Genomic DNA, 18,071 nt, shown 5'->3' with positions numbered 1-18,071 from the left:
CAGTGGCACTTAAGTGTGTCTGCCTAGAAGAGACTTGGGTCACTTCTGCTCAAATTTCATTGAACAAAAGTTCCATGATCACACCCAAATTCATGGGAGCCAGGGAAGTTCAATCTTCTTGTGTGAGTGGAAGGGGAAGAAAACTTGAAATATTGGTGAAAAGATGTAATGTCTACCACAGAAGATGCCATTCTGCTCACCAAAGTTTTGAGTCACCTTCTCCCATGCAGAACACTCACCTCGAAAAAGGCAACCCAAAAGTCCCATCTAGATAGAAAGTTTAGCTTTGCGTCAGGTTTCCTCTGTATTTTGGAGAAATATAGAGGATGCACAACAGTCTCTACATCAGATCTTGATATGGTGTGTGTTTGTTTTTTGAGACAAGGTCTCACTTTGTCACTCAGGCTGGAGTGCAGTGACATGATCATGGCTCACTGCAGCCTAGATCCTCCCACCTCAGCCTCCTGAGTAGCTGGGACTACATGCATGAGCCACTATGTCTGGCTAATTCACTTTTTTTTTTTTTTTTAAAGAGATGGGGTCTTGCTATGTTGCCCAGGCTGGTCTCAAACTCATGGGCTCAAGCAATCTTCCCACCTTGGTCTCCCAAAGTGTTAAGATTATAGGTGTGACCCACCTCGCTTGGCCTGGTTACTCTTGATATAAGCCTGTTGGGCCAAAAAGACAAATTGGATTCATTACAAGCACCCAATGTACAATGACAAAACAAGTACAACATAACCAGAAAAACACTTCCACTTGGAAAAGAAAAACTCCATGATATAACAATCGCTGGTCCATAACAATTGAAATTCCAGTTGGTGAGTATTGTTAAGGCCTCTATCCTTGCAGGGATGGGAAGTTTATGTGAATATTCCTTGATTAAATCTACTCTCTAGTGGGTGGAGGGACTTATTTTTCCATTATTCTCTGTGGCCCTGACTCTACATTCTGAAAAGTTATTCCTTTTTCATTATCCTTGTTGGCCACATCTGAAATAGAGGAAAACAGAGCTACTTGTGGGCTAAGCAGCCTTCTCAGCTATTAGATGTCACCGGGAAAGACACACACTTTAGAGCTCTTTACCCTGAGCTGTTTTATTGAATGAAGCAGTTTGTTAGGTACCACACCCTCAACTTTGGCTTTTTGCCCTGTATATTAGCCTGTTTTCATGCTGCTGATAAAGACATATCTGAAACTGGGAACAAAAATAGGTTTAATTGGACTTACATTTCCACATGGCTGGGGAGGCCTCAGAATCATGGTGGGAGGTGAAAGGTACTTCTTATGCGCCAGCAGCAAGACAAAAATGGGGAAGAAGCAAAGGCAGAAACCCCTGATAAACCCATCAGATCTTGTAAGACTTAATCACTATCACAAGAATAGCAAGGGACAACACGTGGGATTCTGAGAGATAGAATTCAAGTTGAGATTTCGATGGGGACACAACCAAACCATATTATTCTGCCCCCGCCCCCCTCCAAATCTCATGTCCTCACATTTTAAAACCAATCATGCCTTCCTAACAGTCTCCCAAATTCCTAACTCATTTCAGCATTAACTCAAAAGTCCACAGTCCAACGTCTCATCCAAGACAAGAAAAGTCCCTTCTGCCTATGAGCCTGTAAAATCGAAAGCAGGCTAGTTACTTCCTAGATACAACGGGGGTACAGGTATTGGGTAAATACGACCATTTCAAATGGGAGAAATTGGCCAAAACAAAGGGGTTATAGGGCCCATGCAAGTCTAAAATCCAGTGGGGCAGTCAAATTTTATTTTGTTTTGTTCTTTTTTTGTTTTTGAGACGGAGTCTCGCACTTTCGCCCAGGTTGGAGTGCAGTGGCGCGATCTCGGCTCACTGCAACCTCAGCCTCCCAGGTTCACGCCATTCTCCTGCTTCAGCCTCCCGAGTAGCTGGGACTACAGACGCCGGCTAATTTTTTGTATTTTTAGTAGAGATGGGGTTTCACCGTTGTAGCCAGGATGGTCTCGATCTCCTGACCTCATGATCTGCCTGCCTCGGCCTCCCAAAGTGCTGGGATTACAGGCATGAGCCACCTCGCCTGGCCTGGGGCAGTCAAATTTTAAAGCTCCAAAATGACCTCCTTTGACTCCATGTTTCACATCCAGGTCACACTGATGCAAGAGGTGGGTTCCCATGGTCTTGGGCAGCTCTGCTCCTGTGGCTTTGCAAGGTACGGCCTTCCTCCCAGCTGCTTTCATGGGCTGACATTGAGTGTCTGCAGCTTTCTAGGTGCACAGTGCAAGCTGTCCGTGGATCTACCATTCTGGGGTCTGGAGGACGGTGGCCCTCTTCTCACAGTTCCACTAGAGTGCCCCAGTAGGGACTCTGTGTGGAGGCTCCAACCGTACATTTCCCTTCCAGACTGCCCTAGCAGAGGTTCTCCATAAGAGCCCTGCCCCTGCAGCAAACTTTTGCCTGGGTATCCAGGCATTTCCATACATCTTTTGAAATCTAGGCAGAAGTTCCCAAACCTCAATTCTTGACTTCTGTGCACCTGCAGGCTCAACACCATGTGGAAGCTGTCAAGACTTGGGGCTTCTGTCCTCTGCAGCCACAGCCCGAGCTGTACGTTGGTCCCTTTCAGCCACGGCTGGAGTGGCTGGGACACAGGGCACCAAGTCCCTAGGCTGCACACAGCACAGGGACCCTGGGCTCGGCCCACAAAACCACTTTTTCCTCCTGGGACTCTGGGTCTATGATGGGAGGGGGTGCCATGAAGGTCTCTGACATGGCCTGGAGACATTTTCCCCATGGTTGTGGGAATTAACATTAGGTTCCTTGCTGCTTGCACAAATTTCTGCAGCTGGCTTGAATTTCTCCCCAGAAAATGGGTTTTTCTTTTCTTGTGCGTAGTCAGGCTGCAAGTTTCCCAAACTTTTATGCTCTGCTTCCCTTATAAAACTGAATTCCTTTAACAGCACCCAAGTCACCTTTTGAATGCTTTGCTGCTGAGAAATTTCTTCTGCCAGATACCCTAAATCACCTTTCTCAAGTTCAAAGTTCCATAAATCTCTAGGGCAGGGGCAAAATGCTGCCAGTCTCTTTGCTAAAACATAACAGGAGTCACCTTTGCTCCAGTTCCCAACAAGTTCCTCATCTCCATCTGAGACCACCTCAGTCTGGACTTTACTGTCCATATTGCTATCAGCATTTTGGGCAAAGCCATTCAACAAGTTTCTAGGGAGTTCCACACTTTCCCACATTTTCCTAACTTCTTCTGAGCCCTCCAAACTGTTCCAACCTCTGCCTGCTACCCAGGTCCAAAGTTGCTTCCACATTTTCAGGTATCTTTTCAGCAATGCCCTACTCTACTGGTATCAATTTACTGTATTAGTCCATTTTCACACTGCTGTAAAGACATAACTGAAACTGGGAACAAAAAGAGATTTAATTGGAGTTAGAGTTCCACATGTTCCACCTCAGAACCATGGCAGGAGGGGAAAGGCACTTCTTACATGGTGGCAGCAAGAGAAAAATGAGGAAGAAGCAAAAACGGAAACCCCTGATAAACCCACCAGACCTTGTGAGACTTAATTACTATCATGAGAATAGCACAGGAAAGACTGGATCCCATGATTCAATTACCTATCCCTGGGTCCCTCCTACAATATGTGGGAATTCTGGGAGATACAATTCAAGTTGAGATTTGGATGAGGACACAGCCAAACCATCCTCACCCTGAGATCCCTCCTTAATCCATCTGGTGGTTCTCACAAGGGTATAATGTCTATACTGCTTGACCTCTGCCTTAAGGCTGAGTTGTAATCGGCCTTTGCTTCTCAAAGATTTTCTTACATTTACCTTTTACTTTTTGGGGTGGTGAACTAGTTTTCTATTCTTGAAAGCTCATGGAGTTTGTATTCTATTTGCTTTTATTCCTGTTTGCAAACAAATTCCTTACAGAACTTGGAAATGGCCAAATGCAGCCAACAACAATGCTTCTTTCTCATTTTTCTCTTGCTGCCACCATGTAAGAAGTGCCTTTCTCCTCCCGCCATGATTCTGAGGTGGAACACATGGAACTCTAACTCCAATTACATCTCTTTTTGTTCCTAACACTCACTAGTAAAGTTTTTTTTCCATTCTGTTTCTCTAGAGCTACATATATCTTTATTGGATACATAGTATGACTCCCAAGTTATTTTGGCATTACATCTTTCTCACCTTCAATATGCATTTCTTCACTGCTTCCCTTACCAATGCTTGTTTCTGTTGGGATAAGGCAAGTCATACTGTCACACAAATAACTCTGAGTTTTCAGAAGGAATTAGATTTCACCCAAGATTTCACTCCGGATTACAGGCTATGAAGGTTCAACAGGAATAGTGCCAGGCTCTGGTAAATGTGGCAGTGAAAGAGAATGGTTACTCAAACTAGGTCTTAAAATACTCTCTGGCAAGTGACACTTTCAGATCAAAGCTAGTTTTTAGGCAAGGCTAACTTCCAAGTAGGCAAGGAGGTCCAGAACCCTGCATGCCCCAAAGGAGAAGAGAACCATAAATACTGAAGGGTAACGTTAACATCTGCAACAACGTTAATATCTTTAGCCACTTTAAAAATAATATAAGTACATTAAAAGATTTTAATTCTGATTTATCCTAACTTACATAAAGGTTTCTCAGGATATTAGTTTTATCTTTCCAATTTTTTACCCCCCTATTAGATATTATTAATATTATTGTCTTCTACAGCCAATCTTTATTTAGATTGATTCAGGTGTTTACCATTTTCTTTTTTTTTTTTTTTTTGAGACAGAGTCTCACTCTGTTACCCAGGCTGGAGTGCAGTGGTGCGACCTTGGCTCACTGCAACCTCCGCCTACCGGGTTCAAGCAATTCTCCTGCCTCGGCCTCCCAAGTAGGTGGGATTACAGGTGCCTGCCACCATGCCCAGCTAATTTTTGTATTTTTAGTAAAGACAGGGTTTCACCATGTTGGCCAGGCTGGTCTTGAACTCCTGACCTCAAGTGATCCACCCACCTCAGCCTCCCAAAGTGCTGAGATTACAGGCATGAGCCACTGCACCAGGCCATGTTTACTACTTTCTTCCTTCTCCAATATTACATCATAATGGGTTTAATTTTGTGTGTGTGTGAAATATACCCTTTAGAATCCTTTCACTGATAGTCTGTTGGTAGTAAATTGTTTATTTTTGTTTGTCTGAAAAGGTTTTATTTCACCACCTTTTCCTTTTTTAAAGTGAGGGTTTATTTTCCTAGGCACTCAATTCTAGGCTTGCATTTCAGATTTTGAAAGTATGATTTTACTGTCTTGACAGTACCATTGTTGTTGAGAATTCAGCTGTAAAATTAACATTTATCTAATCTTCCTTTCCTGCGAGCCTCTTTTCTTTGCTTTTCTGTAGTGCACTATAATTTGTTTGGGTATAGAAGATCTTTAATTTATCCATTTTGGGGTTTGGAAACCTTAAATCTGTAGGATCTTGTCTCTCATCAATCTGGAAAACTTTCAGACTTCATATCTAGGATTATTGCCTTTGTCAATTCTGTGCTGAAACTTTGATTAGATGTAAGATAGATCTTACTCTAATGTCTAGGGATTTTTCACCTATCTTGCGTTATTTATCTCTTTGCCTGCTTTTTCTCTATACTGTATAATTTCCTTAGAACTATGTGTCAGGGCCGGGCATGGTGGCTCATACCTGTAATCTCAGCACTTTGGGAGACCAAGGCGAGTGGATCACTTGAGGTCAGGAGTTTGAGACCAGCCTGGCCAACATGATGAAACCCCATCTCTACTAAAAATACAAAAACTAGCTGGGCATGGTGGCACACAACTGTAATCCCAGCTACTCGGGAGGCTGAGGCATGAGAATCGTTTGAACCCGAGAGGCAGAGGTTGCAGTGAGCTGAGATCATGCCAATGCACTTCAGCCTGGGCGACAGCGTGAGACTCCGTCTCAAGAAAAAAAGAAGAACTATGTGTCAGTTTACTAATTTTGTTTTTAGTTGTATATAATCTGCCATTACACATTTTCATTTTTTGTTTCTATGTATATTGAATGTATATATATTTATATATTATTTAAATGTACACATTGATTATATATGTACAATTCAAGTTCTATTTGATTTTCAAAAAAACTGTCTAGCCATTGTTATTGTTTGTTACTAATAACCTCCAATACTCTCTTGTTGAAATTATAAAACATATTTTTATAATATTCTATCTGATAATAGGGGCAGCAGAATTATTTGTAAGTTTCATTCTGCTATTGTTTTTATTGTTGACTTATCAATGGGACTTTGTTTCCTTCTGTATTTTGTAATATTCAAAAACTCGTGGGAATTTTATGAGGCCTAAGTTGAAAATGTATTTTTCCAGAGAGAGTTTGCATGTTTTTACGTCCATGCTTTGAAAATATCACAACTCAATATCCCTTCAAAATAGATATTGCTCAAAGTTTTTGGTGCCATATAAGTGGTATCAATTTATTCCCCTAAATGGCACAAAGTCTAGCTTATACGTGTAGGGAAACACAGGCAATTTGTCTCCTCTTCTCCCACCATCAAAGGTAAAAGGTGGTTTTCCTTGTTATCTTCATCTGTAGGTTATATTTTCTTTTCATTTACCCTGTTTTTGTCCTATGGCTCTCCTAACAACATCTCCTCCTTGGCAAAGCTGAGACATTGCCTACTGTTCCCATCATTTTATGCAGCCATCAAAATATAAGCTCAATTTCACCAGGGAGGGACAGATGCCTCAGAGAAGGTACCAACTTCAGGGTCGCTTTCCTTTCTGGGTTCCTGCTTTTATTCCATTTTTGGTCTTCGAGAATTTCCCTTACCTTATCATAGCACATAATTTTTTTCACCCTCCCAATATTTTATATTAAAATTGAATTAAAATATTGGGAGGGTGAAAAAAATTCATGTAGAATTTTGAATTATTTTGCTGCGTGAGCTAGGAACTGGACATGTTGTCTGCCATAGTGCCAAATATGGAAGTCCAGTTTTCCAAATTTTGTTTTTTCTTATCATTTATTCTGTTATTTTTAAACAACTACACTAGAAAGACCATTAGAGAGCTGGTGTTTGTTTCACAGAGCTTTAAACTACACTGATCTATCCAGGAATAGATCTGGCTTTGATCCTTTAAGAAGAATCTCTAGCATTTCCTGTTCTAAGCAATTACCTTGACCCTCTATTACTTTGTCCATTTCCTTGTTTTTGCCCCCACTTGAATCTAGATTGTACTCAAGAGTCTGACCTTTGTCTTTTTCATTATAAACCAAAAATTGACCAGAGTTGAACACAAATGTAGCTTTCTGAGTTTTCATATTTTGATACTTCCTAGAATTTGCCTTTGCTGACATCATTGATGTTTCTGCTTTTTACATTCAAAACTAAGCATTCCACTTGAGCAGATCCTGCACCAATCATCCTACTCTGTTATTAGCCACCTGACCTGTGCCCTAGAAAAGCCTTCTCCACTCAAGAGAAGTCAGAAAAACACCACTAGTTTGACCTGTAACCAGTCTTCTGACAGTGATCAAATTTTAGTATCCAAAGCCCAATACACTTTAAGAATGTTTATTTTACTATTAGCAATATTAGTATTAATATTATGACATCTCTTATTATGTACTATATATTGATCTATTCATATTCCTACTTCCTATTCCACAAGTGTCCTCAACCTCTTATTTTAAGTGGCTTCTTTTTCGTTCTTCTTTTGCGACACAGTCTTGCTCTGTCACCCAGGCTGGAGTGCAGTGGCACGATCCCGACTCACTGCAACCTCCGCCTCCCAGATTCAAGTGATTTTCTTGCCTCAGCCTCCGGAGCAGCTGGGATTACAGGCACGCGCCACCACACCCGGCTAGTTTTTGTATTTTTAGTAGAGACGGGATTTCTCCATGTTTGCCAGGCTGGTCATAAACTCCTGACCTCAGGTGATCCACCCACCTCGGCCTCCCAAAGTGCTGGGATTACAGGCTTGAGACACTGCCCGGCCCTCAGTGGCGTCTCTATAGGTGATTTTTACTTGCACAGATTTTACAGACTTTAGCATTGCAGTTTGTGTCGGTGTTTCTCACATGGTACACAGTTCCAAGGAAACATCTTCTCTTTGTGTGCATGTTTTTCTCTTAATAAAATACTATGGACGGAGGAATGCAGTGCTCCTATCAGATGGGCTTATGCCATATGACAACTGCTAAGCCAGGAAAGGGTTTAGCTTTATACAAGGCAAAAACCTGAGTGGAAGAAGCCATGGTGCTCGGATCAAAATAAGAAAAAATAGGTCCAGGATAAACAAAAAGTTTTTTTTTAACTATCATTTTTCATTGCCCTTTGAACAAAGTCTAGCTACAAAAGGATTCAGTAGAAAATGTCTCCTCACCCTAAAAGCCTCCAGGGCTTGAACTTTTATTTCCTACCTTGAAGCAGTTGATTGGATTTTATTTATATATATATATATTTATTATCATTTTTGACAGTCTTTTTCTGTCACCCAGGCTGGAGTACAGTGGCACGATCTCGGCTCACTACAAGCTCGGCCTCCCGGGTTCACGCCATCCTCCTGCCTCAGCTTCCCGAGTAGCTGGGACTACAGGCGCGCACGGCCACACCCAGCTAATTTTTGTATTTTTAGTAGAGACGGGGTTTCACCATGTTGGCCAGGATGGTCTCTATCTACTGACCTCGTGATCCGCGTGCCTCAGCCTCCCTAAGTGCTGGAATTACAGGCTTGAGTCACCGTGCCCGGCCAATTGGTTGGATTTATAGATGTCCTCCCCTCCCTTTGTGATTTAGACAGCTTGGACCTTAAATACCTGAGGGGTAGCCAAGGCACCTGTTGCCTAGAAACTTAGTAGAGTCTCCACCTCTCCCCAGGCCTAATTCCATTTCTTGGGATCGTCCATTCTCTGACTCACGACAGGGTATAGGAGGCCTAACCAATTATGAGCACAAAGGAGAGATTAAGTGAACCAGTAAGTGTTTAGTCCAAGTGGGCCTGGATTCAGTTTGCCAATCCTACCACATGGGGACGATAGGAAGCAAGAGGGGTAGTTACAATATGCCTTTCTAATACGCAATGACTGCCAACGGTAGCCCAGACAGTATTCCAGAAGTTGACAAAACATAGACGCTCCTCCTTGGGATTGAAATGTATGGGGGTGGGGGGAAGAGCGAGAAGGGAGAGTGAAAGAAGAGGATAGAGATTTTCTTTCTACTTCAAAATACATCTTTCCAGTCACTTTGGTAAGCATAAGGGATAACGTAATGTTTAGTAGTTTTTTTTACTTGAATCTATTTTCTACGTCCTGAAATGTTTGATAACATAGAAATTTTAAATTACTGGATAAAATTCCGCTCAAAGGGTATACTATTATATATCTAATTAAAACACTTAGGTGCTTATCTATGATGTGAACACTTGATAGTTTATTTTCAATCTTCGTCAATTTGACTTATATATTTCTAAAATTGTAGTGATTTTGAATACTTTATTGACATATTTATTGCCTTTCTTTTTTTGAATTTCCATGAGTATCCTTGATCCAGAAACACTTACTTTTTCTGAGTCATTTTGCTCCAATTTGGATATATAGCACCCCATCACCCCGTCTTAACCCCCCAGGATGAGAAAGCATTCGCAAAAGAGGAATTTGTCTCATTGCATTTTTGAAAAGGCACTTCCTTTTCTTATGGCGCATTTTGTTCAAGCTTTCTTTTCTTCTCCCACCTCATAATCCTCCTGGCTCTCTCTTCTCTTTCCGCCTCACAGGGCTGCCCTTGTGAAAAGTTTGTGGAAACATCTAGGTCAGACCCATTCAGAGTCCTCCCAACAGGAAATTGAGCCCAGCACTCTACTATGAAAGGTGACCACCTGACAAAGCATCCTCTTCTGTTCTTTCCAGGTCCCCTGGTTTGTGATGCAGAGTCCTTCATTCAGTTTCCAGTGCAACCCTTTCTGATGAATTCACCCCAGAGTCACTTTTACTATCATGGGATCCATCATATTAAAACGGCACTTAGGAGCTGGGTGAGGCAGTGAGGAGGACAATGGAAAGACTGAGCAGCAAGAAGAGAGGAGGGTGAGGTGGGAACCCACATGGCTGAGTGGAAAAAGTTAACTGAACTGCCTTGGAAATAGGCTCCACATATTTTTGGATCAAGCCTTAGTGTTCTATCTCGTGTGTTTGACAGAGCGGATTATGTTTTAACTTTTCTTCCTCTACCTGACAAAGTTATTTTGAGGAATAATCATGAAATGAAACAAATAATTAATGGCCAGGAAACTTTAAGTAGTGAACATTTTCTTTCACTAACCCTTATATGGTCATGTCAGTAAAAATAAATAAATGAAAATAAACATGCCATTTCAGATTAGGAAGAGTGAATTTTTTTCATTGACCTTTCCATATACAATCATACCACTGCAAAAGTTTTTAAAAATAAAAAGTAAAATGAATAAGAATAGTACCAAATAGGGTAGTGAAAAGGTAATAAATTCTTATTAAATATATTAATATATATTTTTAAAAGACATAGGAAAACTTACTTCATATTGTGTCCGGAATTGGTGGCTTCTTGGTCTCACTGACTTCAAGAATGAAGCCGCGAACCCTGGTGGTGAGTGTTACAGTTCTTAAAGGCGGTGTGTGCAGAGTTTGTTCCTTCTGATGTTTGGATGTGTTTGGAGTTTCTTCCTTCCGAGGTTCGGATGTGTTCGGAGTTTCTTCCTTCTGGTGGGTTCGTGGTCTCGCTGGCTCAGGAGTGAGGCTGCAGACCTTCGCGGTGAGCGTTACAGCTCTTAAGGCGGCGCATCTGGAGTTGTTCATTCCTCCTGCTGGGTTCGTGGTCTCTCTGGCTTCAGGAGTGAAGCTGCAGACCTTGCGGTGAGTGTTAACAGCTCTTAAGGCAGCGCGTCTGGAGTTGTTCGTTCCTCCTGCTGGGTTCGTGGTCTCACTGGCTTCAGGAATGAAGCTGTAAGACCTTTATGGTGAGTGTTACAGCTTATAGAGGTAGCGTGGACCCAAACAGTTAGCAGCAGCAAGATTTATTGCAGAGTAAAAGAGCAAAGCTTCCACAGTACAGAAGGAGACAGGGAAGCATTGCCACCGCCAGCTCAGGCAGCCTGCTTTTATTCTCTTATCTGGTCCCACCCACATCCTGCTGATTGGTCCATTTTACAGAGAGCTGATTGGTCTGTTTTAACAGGGTGCTGATTGGTGCTTTACAATCCCTGAGCTAGACACAAAAGTTCTCCACCTCCCCACTAGATTAGCTAGATGCAGTGTCCATTGGTGCATTCACAAACCCTGAGCTAGACACAGGGTGCTGATTGGTGTGTTTACAAAACTTGAGCTAGATACAGAGTGCTGACTGGTGTATTTACAATCCCTTACCTAGACATAAAGATACTTCAAGTCCCCACCATACTCAGGAGCCCAGCTGGCTTCACGCAGTGGATCCCGCACAGGGGCCGCAGGTGGAGCTGCCTGCCAGTCCCGCGCCATGCGCCAGCAGTCCTCAGCCTTCGGGCGGTCTATGGGACTGGGCGCCCTGGAGCAGGGGGCGGTGCTCGTCGAGGAGGCTCGGGCGGCGCAGGAGTCCACAGCAGTGGGCTGGGGGTGGCGGGGAGGGGGTGGGGGCTCAGGCATGGCGGGCGGGGAGGGGGTGGGGGCTCAGGCATGGCGGGCGGGCAGGGGGCGGGAGCTCAGGCATGGCGGGCGGCGGGCGGCGGGCGGCGGGCGGCGGGCGGCGGGCGGCGGGCGGCGGGCGGCGGGCGGCGGGCGGCGGGCGGCCAGGCATGGCTAGCTGCCCGTCCCAAACCCTGCTCGTGGAGAGGCAGCTAAGGCCCGGTGAGAAATCGAGCACAGCAGCTGCTGGCCCAGGTGCTAAGCTCCTCACTGCCCTGGGCTTGTGGGCTGGCCGGCCGCCAGCGGGGCCTGCCGAGCCCACGCCTACCCGGAACTCGCACTGGCCGGCAAACGCCGCGCACAGCCCCGGTTCCTGCCCGCGCCTCTCCCTCCACACCTCCCCGCAAGCTGAGCGAGCCGGCTCCGGCCTTGGCCAGCCCAGAAGGGGGCTACCACAGTGCAGTGGTGGGCTGAAGGGCTCCTCAAGCGTGGGCAGAGTGGGCGCCAAGGCCGAGGAAGCACCGAGAGCAAGGGCTGTGAGGCTGCCAGCATGCTGTCACCTCTCTATATTGGCCTATCATATAAATAAATCACAACATTACAGTTTCTGTTCTTGAGTTTTAACTTCCACAAATTTGTCCATGACTTCAACAAAATTGATCTTCACATACCTGTGCTTGAAGGAGCGCTCGCAGGAAAATAATTTATCCATTAATTTTTTATTTATTTTAACTTAAAAAGTTTTGCTAACATGAAGATTGAAGATAATAAAACGGTTAAGAAAAGCTTTAAACAAAGGATAAGCAGACATTCATAAGAATCTAATTTCACAATAAAAATGAAAAATTTCAAACTGTCCATGTCTTTATTTTTTCGGTATCAACTCTACCAGTTTTGAAATATGTCTATAATCTAAAATTCTAAACACGAATAAAAATTTTATCACAAAGAATGACAGAATTGAAGTAACTCAAGTTTTATTTCTTTGTCTTTATAATCATTGTGCTACAATTGTTTTTTATTTTTTATTTTTATTTATTTTTTAAATTTTATTTTATTATTATACTTTAAGTTCTGAGATACATGTGCAGAATGTGCAGGTTTGTTACATGGGTATACATGTGCCATGGTGGTTTGCTGCACCCATCAACCCATCATCTACGTTAGGTATTTCTCCTAATGCTATCCCTCCCCTAGCCCCCAACCCCCTGACAGGTCCTGTTGTATGACGTTCCCCTTCCTGTGTCCATGTGTTCTCATTGTTCAACTCCCACTTATGAGTGAGAACATGCAGTGTTTGTTTTTCTGTTCTTGTGTTAGTTTGCTGAGAACGATGGTTTCCAGCTTCATCCGAGTCCCTGCAAAGGACATGAACTCATCCTTTTTTATGGCTGCATAGTATTCCATGGTGTATATGTGCCACATTTTCTTTATTCAGTCTATCATTGATGGGCATTTGGGTTGGTTACAAGTCTTTGCTATTGTGAACAGTGCTGCAATAAACATCCGTGTGTATGTGTCTTTATAGTAGAATTATTTATAATCCTTTGGGTATATACCCAGTAGTTGGATTGCTGGGTCAGATGGTATTTCTGCTTCTAGGTCCTTGAGGAGTTACCACACTGTCTTCCACAATGATTGAACTAATTTACACTCCCACCAACAGTGTAAAAGTGTTCCTATTTCTCTACATCCTCTCCAGCATCTAAAGCTCACATATAAAACAGAAAATAGCAAGGACATAAATTTTGTCACACAAAAATGTGTTGCATGTTATAGTTATAAGAGAGTTATAGGATGTTTATGTTTTCTGGATTATTTAGGAAAGATTTGATAATGGAAGTGGAATTTGATCTTGCCCTAGAAAGTTACTATAATTCAGTTCAGTGGGAAAAGTGATTAGACAGTCTAGACCAATGCAATGGCACCAGCAAAATTACAAACCTATGCTGTCAGGGGACATAGACTGGAGGTGAGGAGACAACCCAATTCCAATCATATGGAATTTGGAAATAAGTATAGAAATGGTCAGATAAGAGCGAGATATTCTTGAGAGCCTATTATTATTTCTCTAAGAAGATAAAGATCCTCGTTGCTAAGCAGCTAAATCTACAATTTAGTCACCTGAGAGACAAAAGGGGGAAGGGCTTACGTTTCTCTTTGTTCTGTGGTCACAGCTACACACCTTTGTTCATTGATAAAGGGTGGTACAAACCATCTAGACGGAAAGGGCCATGGAAACTACTGTTTCTTCTGATGGTAAGTCATTCATCAAGTTTCGTTTCAGTTTGATTGGGACTGAGGGGATTGCTGGGTGCAGGACTTTTAGTTTTAAAACCAGGACAGTCCTGGGAAAATCAGAATGAGGTGGTTACCCCAATTGCCAGTAAGGAATAGGTAAAGTAGTAGAAGATGAAGATACAGTTGAGTGTGGGGAAAATTGATAGAAACAGTCCTCAAGTATGTGGGAGAGATGACTGGAACCATGAGGGGCTACTACCTGAATCGGGGAGGATCACATTTCCACTGAGACTGGAGAGGGAGTGAGGTAAAGAAGAGGCAAATATAGGTGGTTTCAGATGGTGAAAGGCCCAGAAACCATTTTGTCTTTGAATTTGGAATATATATATATAAATTCCAGAGAAAGAAATCCATTTTATATTGTGACATTGTGGCCTTAAACGTACTTACACCCCAATTTTTGGCACTGTGTGTGCAAGAGTTGCTAAGAATCTTCTAGGGATGCCTTCTGATATTTCTCTTCTATTTCCTTAAGGAAAAAAACTGCAGGCGGCCGGGCACAGTGGCTCATGCCTGTAATCCCAGCACTTTGGTAGGCCGAGGCGGGCAGATCACAAGGTCAGGAGATCGAGATCATCCTGGCTAACACAGTGAAACCCCGTCTCTGCTGAAAAAAAAAAATTAGCCGGGCATGGTGGCGGGCACCTGTAGTCCCAGCTACTCAGGTGGCTGAGGCAGGAGAATTGCGTGAACCCCGGAGGCCCAGCTTGCAGTGAGCCAGGATCGCCACTGCACTCCAGCCTGGGCGACAGAGCAAGACTCCGTCTCAAAAAAAAAAAAATTAAAAAAACCCAAAAACTGCAGGCTGTAACCAGCTGAATTACTTCCATGACTCTCTACTGGGTCAGGTATTAGTGACAGACAGATAGGAAAACAATGCATTAGGGCATTGGAATAAGAGGGAAGATGGGTAGAGAGGGGTCTTGATGAATTCGAAATAGCTGTGGGGAAAGTAAGAGTTTATCAAACATGCAGAAGAGGACTGTTGGCTCACTTGACAGTCCACTGACGTTAGAGGACATAGATTTACGGTGGTACCACTTCACAGTATCCATGGTAGAATGATGGTACTTCAGGAGCTTTGGTCTCTGTAAGTCCTAGGAATGAAGACAATGAGTCTGGTTTTAAAGATTTTTTTGAAGTTATTCTCCTGTTATTGCCTGCTCTCATGCTGAGCTCCAAGAAAAAGAATAATATGACACAGGTTTGTGTAGCTTATCAGTCCTTTCCACAACATTATATCTTTGATTAGTTCTTCCCATTTTCAATCCTCCCATCCACAACAACTGTCACTCCATAATAAGTAGAAAACATATCAAGAGAGACACAGGGAGCAAATCTGGCAGTTAGAATTTCATCCCAATTCAGAGATCTTTGTTCTTGGAAGTTCTGTCTATGAACTTTGCTTTTCTCTTCCACGCTACTTGCACCTTGCGAAATAAGGTGCCTAACTTGCAGCAGTGAAAACTGCCCAGATGAATCCAGCCTCTTTAGGCAAGCTAATGGCAAGGATAATGTTCAGCTTGAAACAAGTTTTCCCCATCTTCCAGCATCCACATAGCCAGTCTAGGACAAGAAAAGAAAAAAACCTTAAATACTTTTTATTAGAAAGGAAAGGTACTTGTTTAACTAACTCTACTGTGATTGAAAGACAATGAGAATGGATTTTCAGCTACTGGCACTATACATAAATGAGGAAAACTCAGAACATTGAGGAAACTCAGAACACGATACATAAACGAGGAATGCAATGCCCAGGAGAATAAAGAAAAGGGCAATATGGCATAGGAAGTTTTGACATATCTGTTGAATTTTATATCTCTATTCCTTAGGCTGGGGATCCAGGACAAGCCATTTCAGTTCTGATTTGTATATTCTCTTTTTAAACCTTTCACAAACACATTGGTTTGTGATTTTTTTTTTTTTCAGAGTAGCATTGGTAGCTTTGATGTAGAAGTGGAAAAAGCATGTGAAGGATTAATGCAGTTCCTGCCCATCCCCCACCCCCACCCCCCACAATCTGTGTTATAATTAGGACTTTAGAGAGTTAAAGATTTTGGCATACAGTGCTTGAAGGGATGAAACTAGTAGCAGAGCTCGAATGGATTGGAAGACAAGAACATTGAGTGAAATGGGAGACAATGAAAGACAAAAGTGGGTTCTCTTCGGGTTTGAGAAATAGGTATAGCAGAAGTAAGGGGGAGAGCTGGGAGAACTAAAATTGTTGGTAAATTGCTTAGGATATATGAAATTTTTTGTGCGTTGACAAGGTATAGATTTTGACTATGAGTGGGTAGGCTGAATTACACTAAGACAAATTGAAGAGGTTTAAAAAAAAACTTGAAAAAACCCTGTCTTGTTTTCAGATGGGTTTTCTATATACTTGCTAATATTACTTTAAGATGAGGGTAGAATTTTTGGTGGAGAATAATTTTATTAGTCAGGGTCCAAAGCCTTTGAATTTTGTCCAAGTGTGATAAGGGTGGTTGAAGAGACATCTAAAAAATAGTGTAGTCAGATATTGCAGGATAAATGATTTGGTGTTGATGTTGTCGGCTGTGGAGAACAGGAACTCTGGTCCTTGTGGTGCATGTGACTTCTGAGGATGGGGTTTCTCAAGAGGAGGCCTTTAGGCAAGCAGTAAATTCTATTAAAGCTCAGGTTTAATAAGATAAGTAGACGTAGGGAGCTTTCTGGGAAGAGGTTCAGGGTGGAGTTGGTTCTCTCTCTCTCTCTCTCTCTGTCTCTTCCCTTTTGTGTTTAAAGGAAGACTCCAGAAAGCACAAGAGAAGGTATAAGAAGAGAGTATAAGGAAACTTGACTCAGGGCAAAGAAAGCATTGATTAGAAATGGATTCAAAATCCAGGAGATGATTAGTGTTGGGTCAGGCATGTTCATTTTTATATCTTCTGTGTAAGTCCTCTTAGATTAGCTTGATTTAAATGCTTTTCCTTTTTGTTCTTATAAAAAACGGCACCTACCTTCATCAATATGTTGATCACAGTCAGAGGTGAAATTAAGTTTTTGGGCCTGATGCACGTACAAGATGAGGGCCCCACTTTAAGAAAAATAATACCAAGTTACAATTGCAGAAAATAAGTATGAAAATGAGGATTTATTTAGCATAAGAAAGAAGCTGCAACAAATTATAAATATTAAAAGGTTGAAAACACCATAAACATCAAAAAATTTAATCCCTTCATATTTATATTAATCAACTTCCTGACTCACTTTTATGATACCTTTTCCCTACAGTTTTTAAATTGCTTCTTATTTAATTGTCTCCCTTAAGAGAATTATTTTGTTATAATTTCTGTGGCAAGAACTGAAAGGCATTTGCCTTTCCCTGGTATGTTTAATAAAAATTTGTTTTGTATTATTAATGGTTTAGAAAAGAAAATTCAGCTTCATAGCTTGTTATTGGTAATGAGATAAATAATTAAATTTACTATTGTCAAATTTTAGAAAGCCTTTATTAAGTCTTTTATGTATGAATTATAATATTTCAGAGTTTTTCAGTTATAATATTTCTGATTTTTCTTGTATAGTGACTAATTTTGATCACTCATAATTTGAGGAGTTTCTTAAAGTCCATTGCGGAGCCCCTTTCAGGGTCTTTATGGAGGTCTGTACAATGAGGATCCCTGAAGCATAAACTTTGTTATCTTCAGATTAATCTGGTTTTGATCATATTACAATTACCTGTTTGTTTGTTTCTACACATGCTCAGTGCTTATTAGCCTCACTTTTGACAGTCATTTCAGACTATGATGAAATATATGGACTCTCTCCTCGGCAAAAAAAAAAGGCACAAAATATATAAAATATTGAATACAATATTATAGGCCTCCTAAAGCTTATTCTTGCTCCTGCCACAAGTTTCTGCACTAAATTGATAATTTATTTAATGCTCTGTATTTTGATTTTCTTTCTCTAATATCTAGCACAATGTCCTGCACTATGTATGCTCCAAACACATAAAGACTTGTTTAATAAATAGAAAAAGAAATGGATGAGCGTTGCCAGCCAGATTGTATGACAGGTGCAGAAATTCCCCACTTTCAAAAACTGTTGGTAAATATATTTGAGCAAACATTGGGACTCTTCCCTGGCGATCCTAAAATACCAGACTCTC

The 18,071-nt window shown here is 41.9% G+C and overlaps 2 long non-coding RNA genes across 6 annotated transcripts in view, besides 1 other annotated feature; one reads left to right on the top strand and one right to left on the bottom strand.

The window, feature by feature from the left end:
- Window positions 1-11,925, bottom strand: part of LOC101928046 (uncharacterized) — a 60,419-nt gene extending 48,494 nt beyond the window's left edge. For 2 of the 4 annotated variants that reach the window (XR_943988.2, XR_943990.2), the window contains exon 1: window positions 10,555-11,112. This is a non-coding gene — a long non-coding RNA (uncharacterized LOC101928046). Of the gene's footprint in view, window positions 1-8,689; window positions 8,732-10,554; window positions 11,113-11,401 lie in introns of those variants that run through there. The other 2 variants (XR_007064236.1, XR_943989.1) reach the window with 2 other exon arrangements.
- On the top strand, window positions 8,878-10,382 carry LOC105370552 (uncharacterized). 2 transcript variants are annotated; one of them, XR_943992.1, is made up of 2 exons: window positions 8,878-8,980; window positions 9,911-10,382. It is a non-coding gene; the product is annotated as an uncharacterized LOC105370552 (long non-coding RNA). The 2 variants fall into 2 exon arrangements; XR_943991.1 differs by having other exon boundaries at window positions 8,878-9,251.
- Window positions 11,798-11,907: a silencer, noted in NCBI's record as "silent region_5886". NCBI's record gives its function as "represses an Ori minimal core promoter by ATAC-STARR-seq in GM12878 lymphoblastoid cells {active_cell/tissue: GM12878}" and the evidence as "EXISTENCE:reporter gene assay evidence [ECO:0000049][PMID:35858748]".

Source organism: Homo sapiens, chromosome 14 (assembly GCF_000001405.40).
Source record: "Homo sapiens chromosome 14, GRCh38.p14 Primary Assembly".
NCBI lineage: Eukaryota > Metazoa > Chordata > Mammalia > Primates > Hominidae > Homo > Homo sapiens.
Note: the sequence above shows the minus strand (reverse complement) of the source record. Positions and strands in the feature narration are given on the sequence as shown.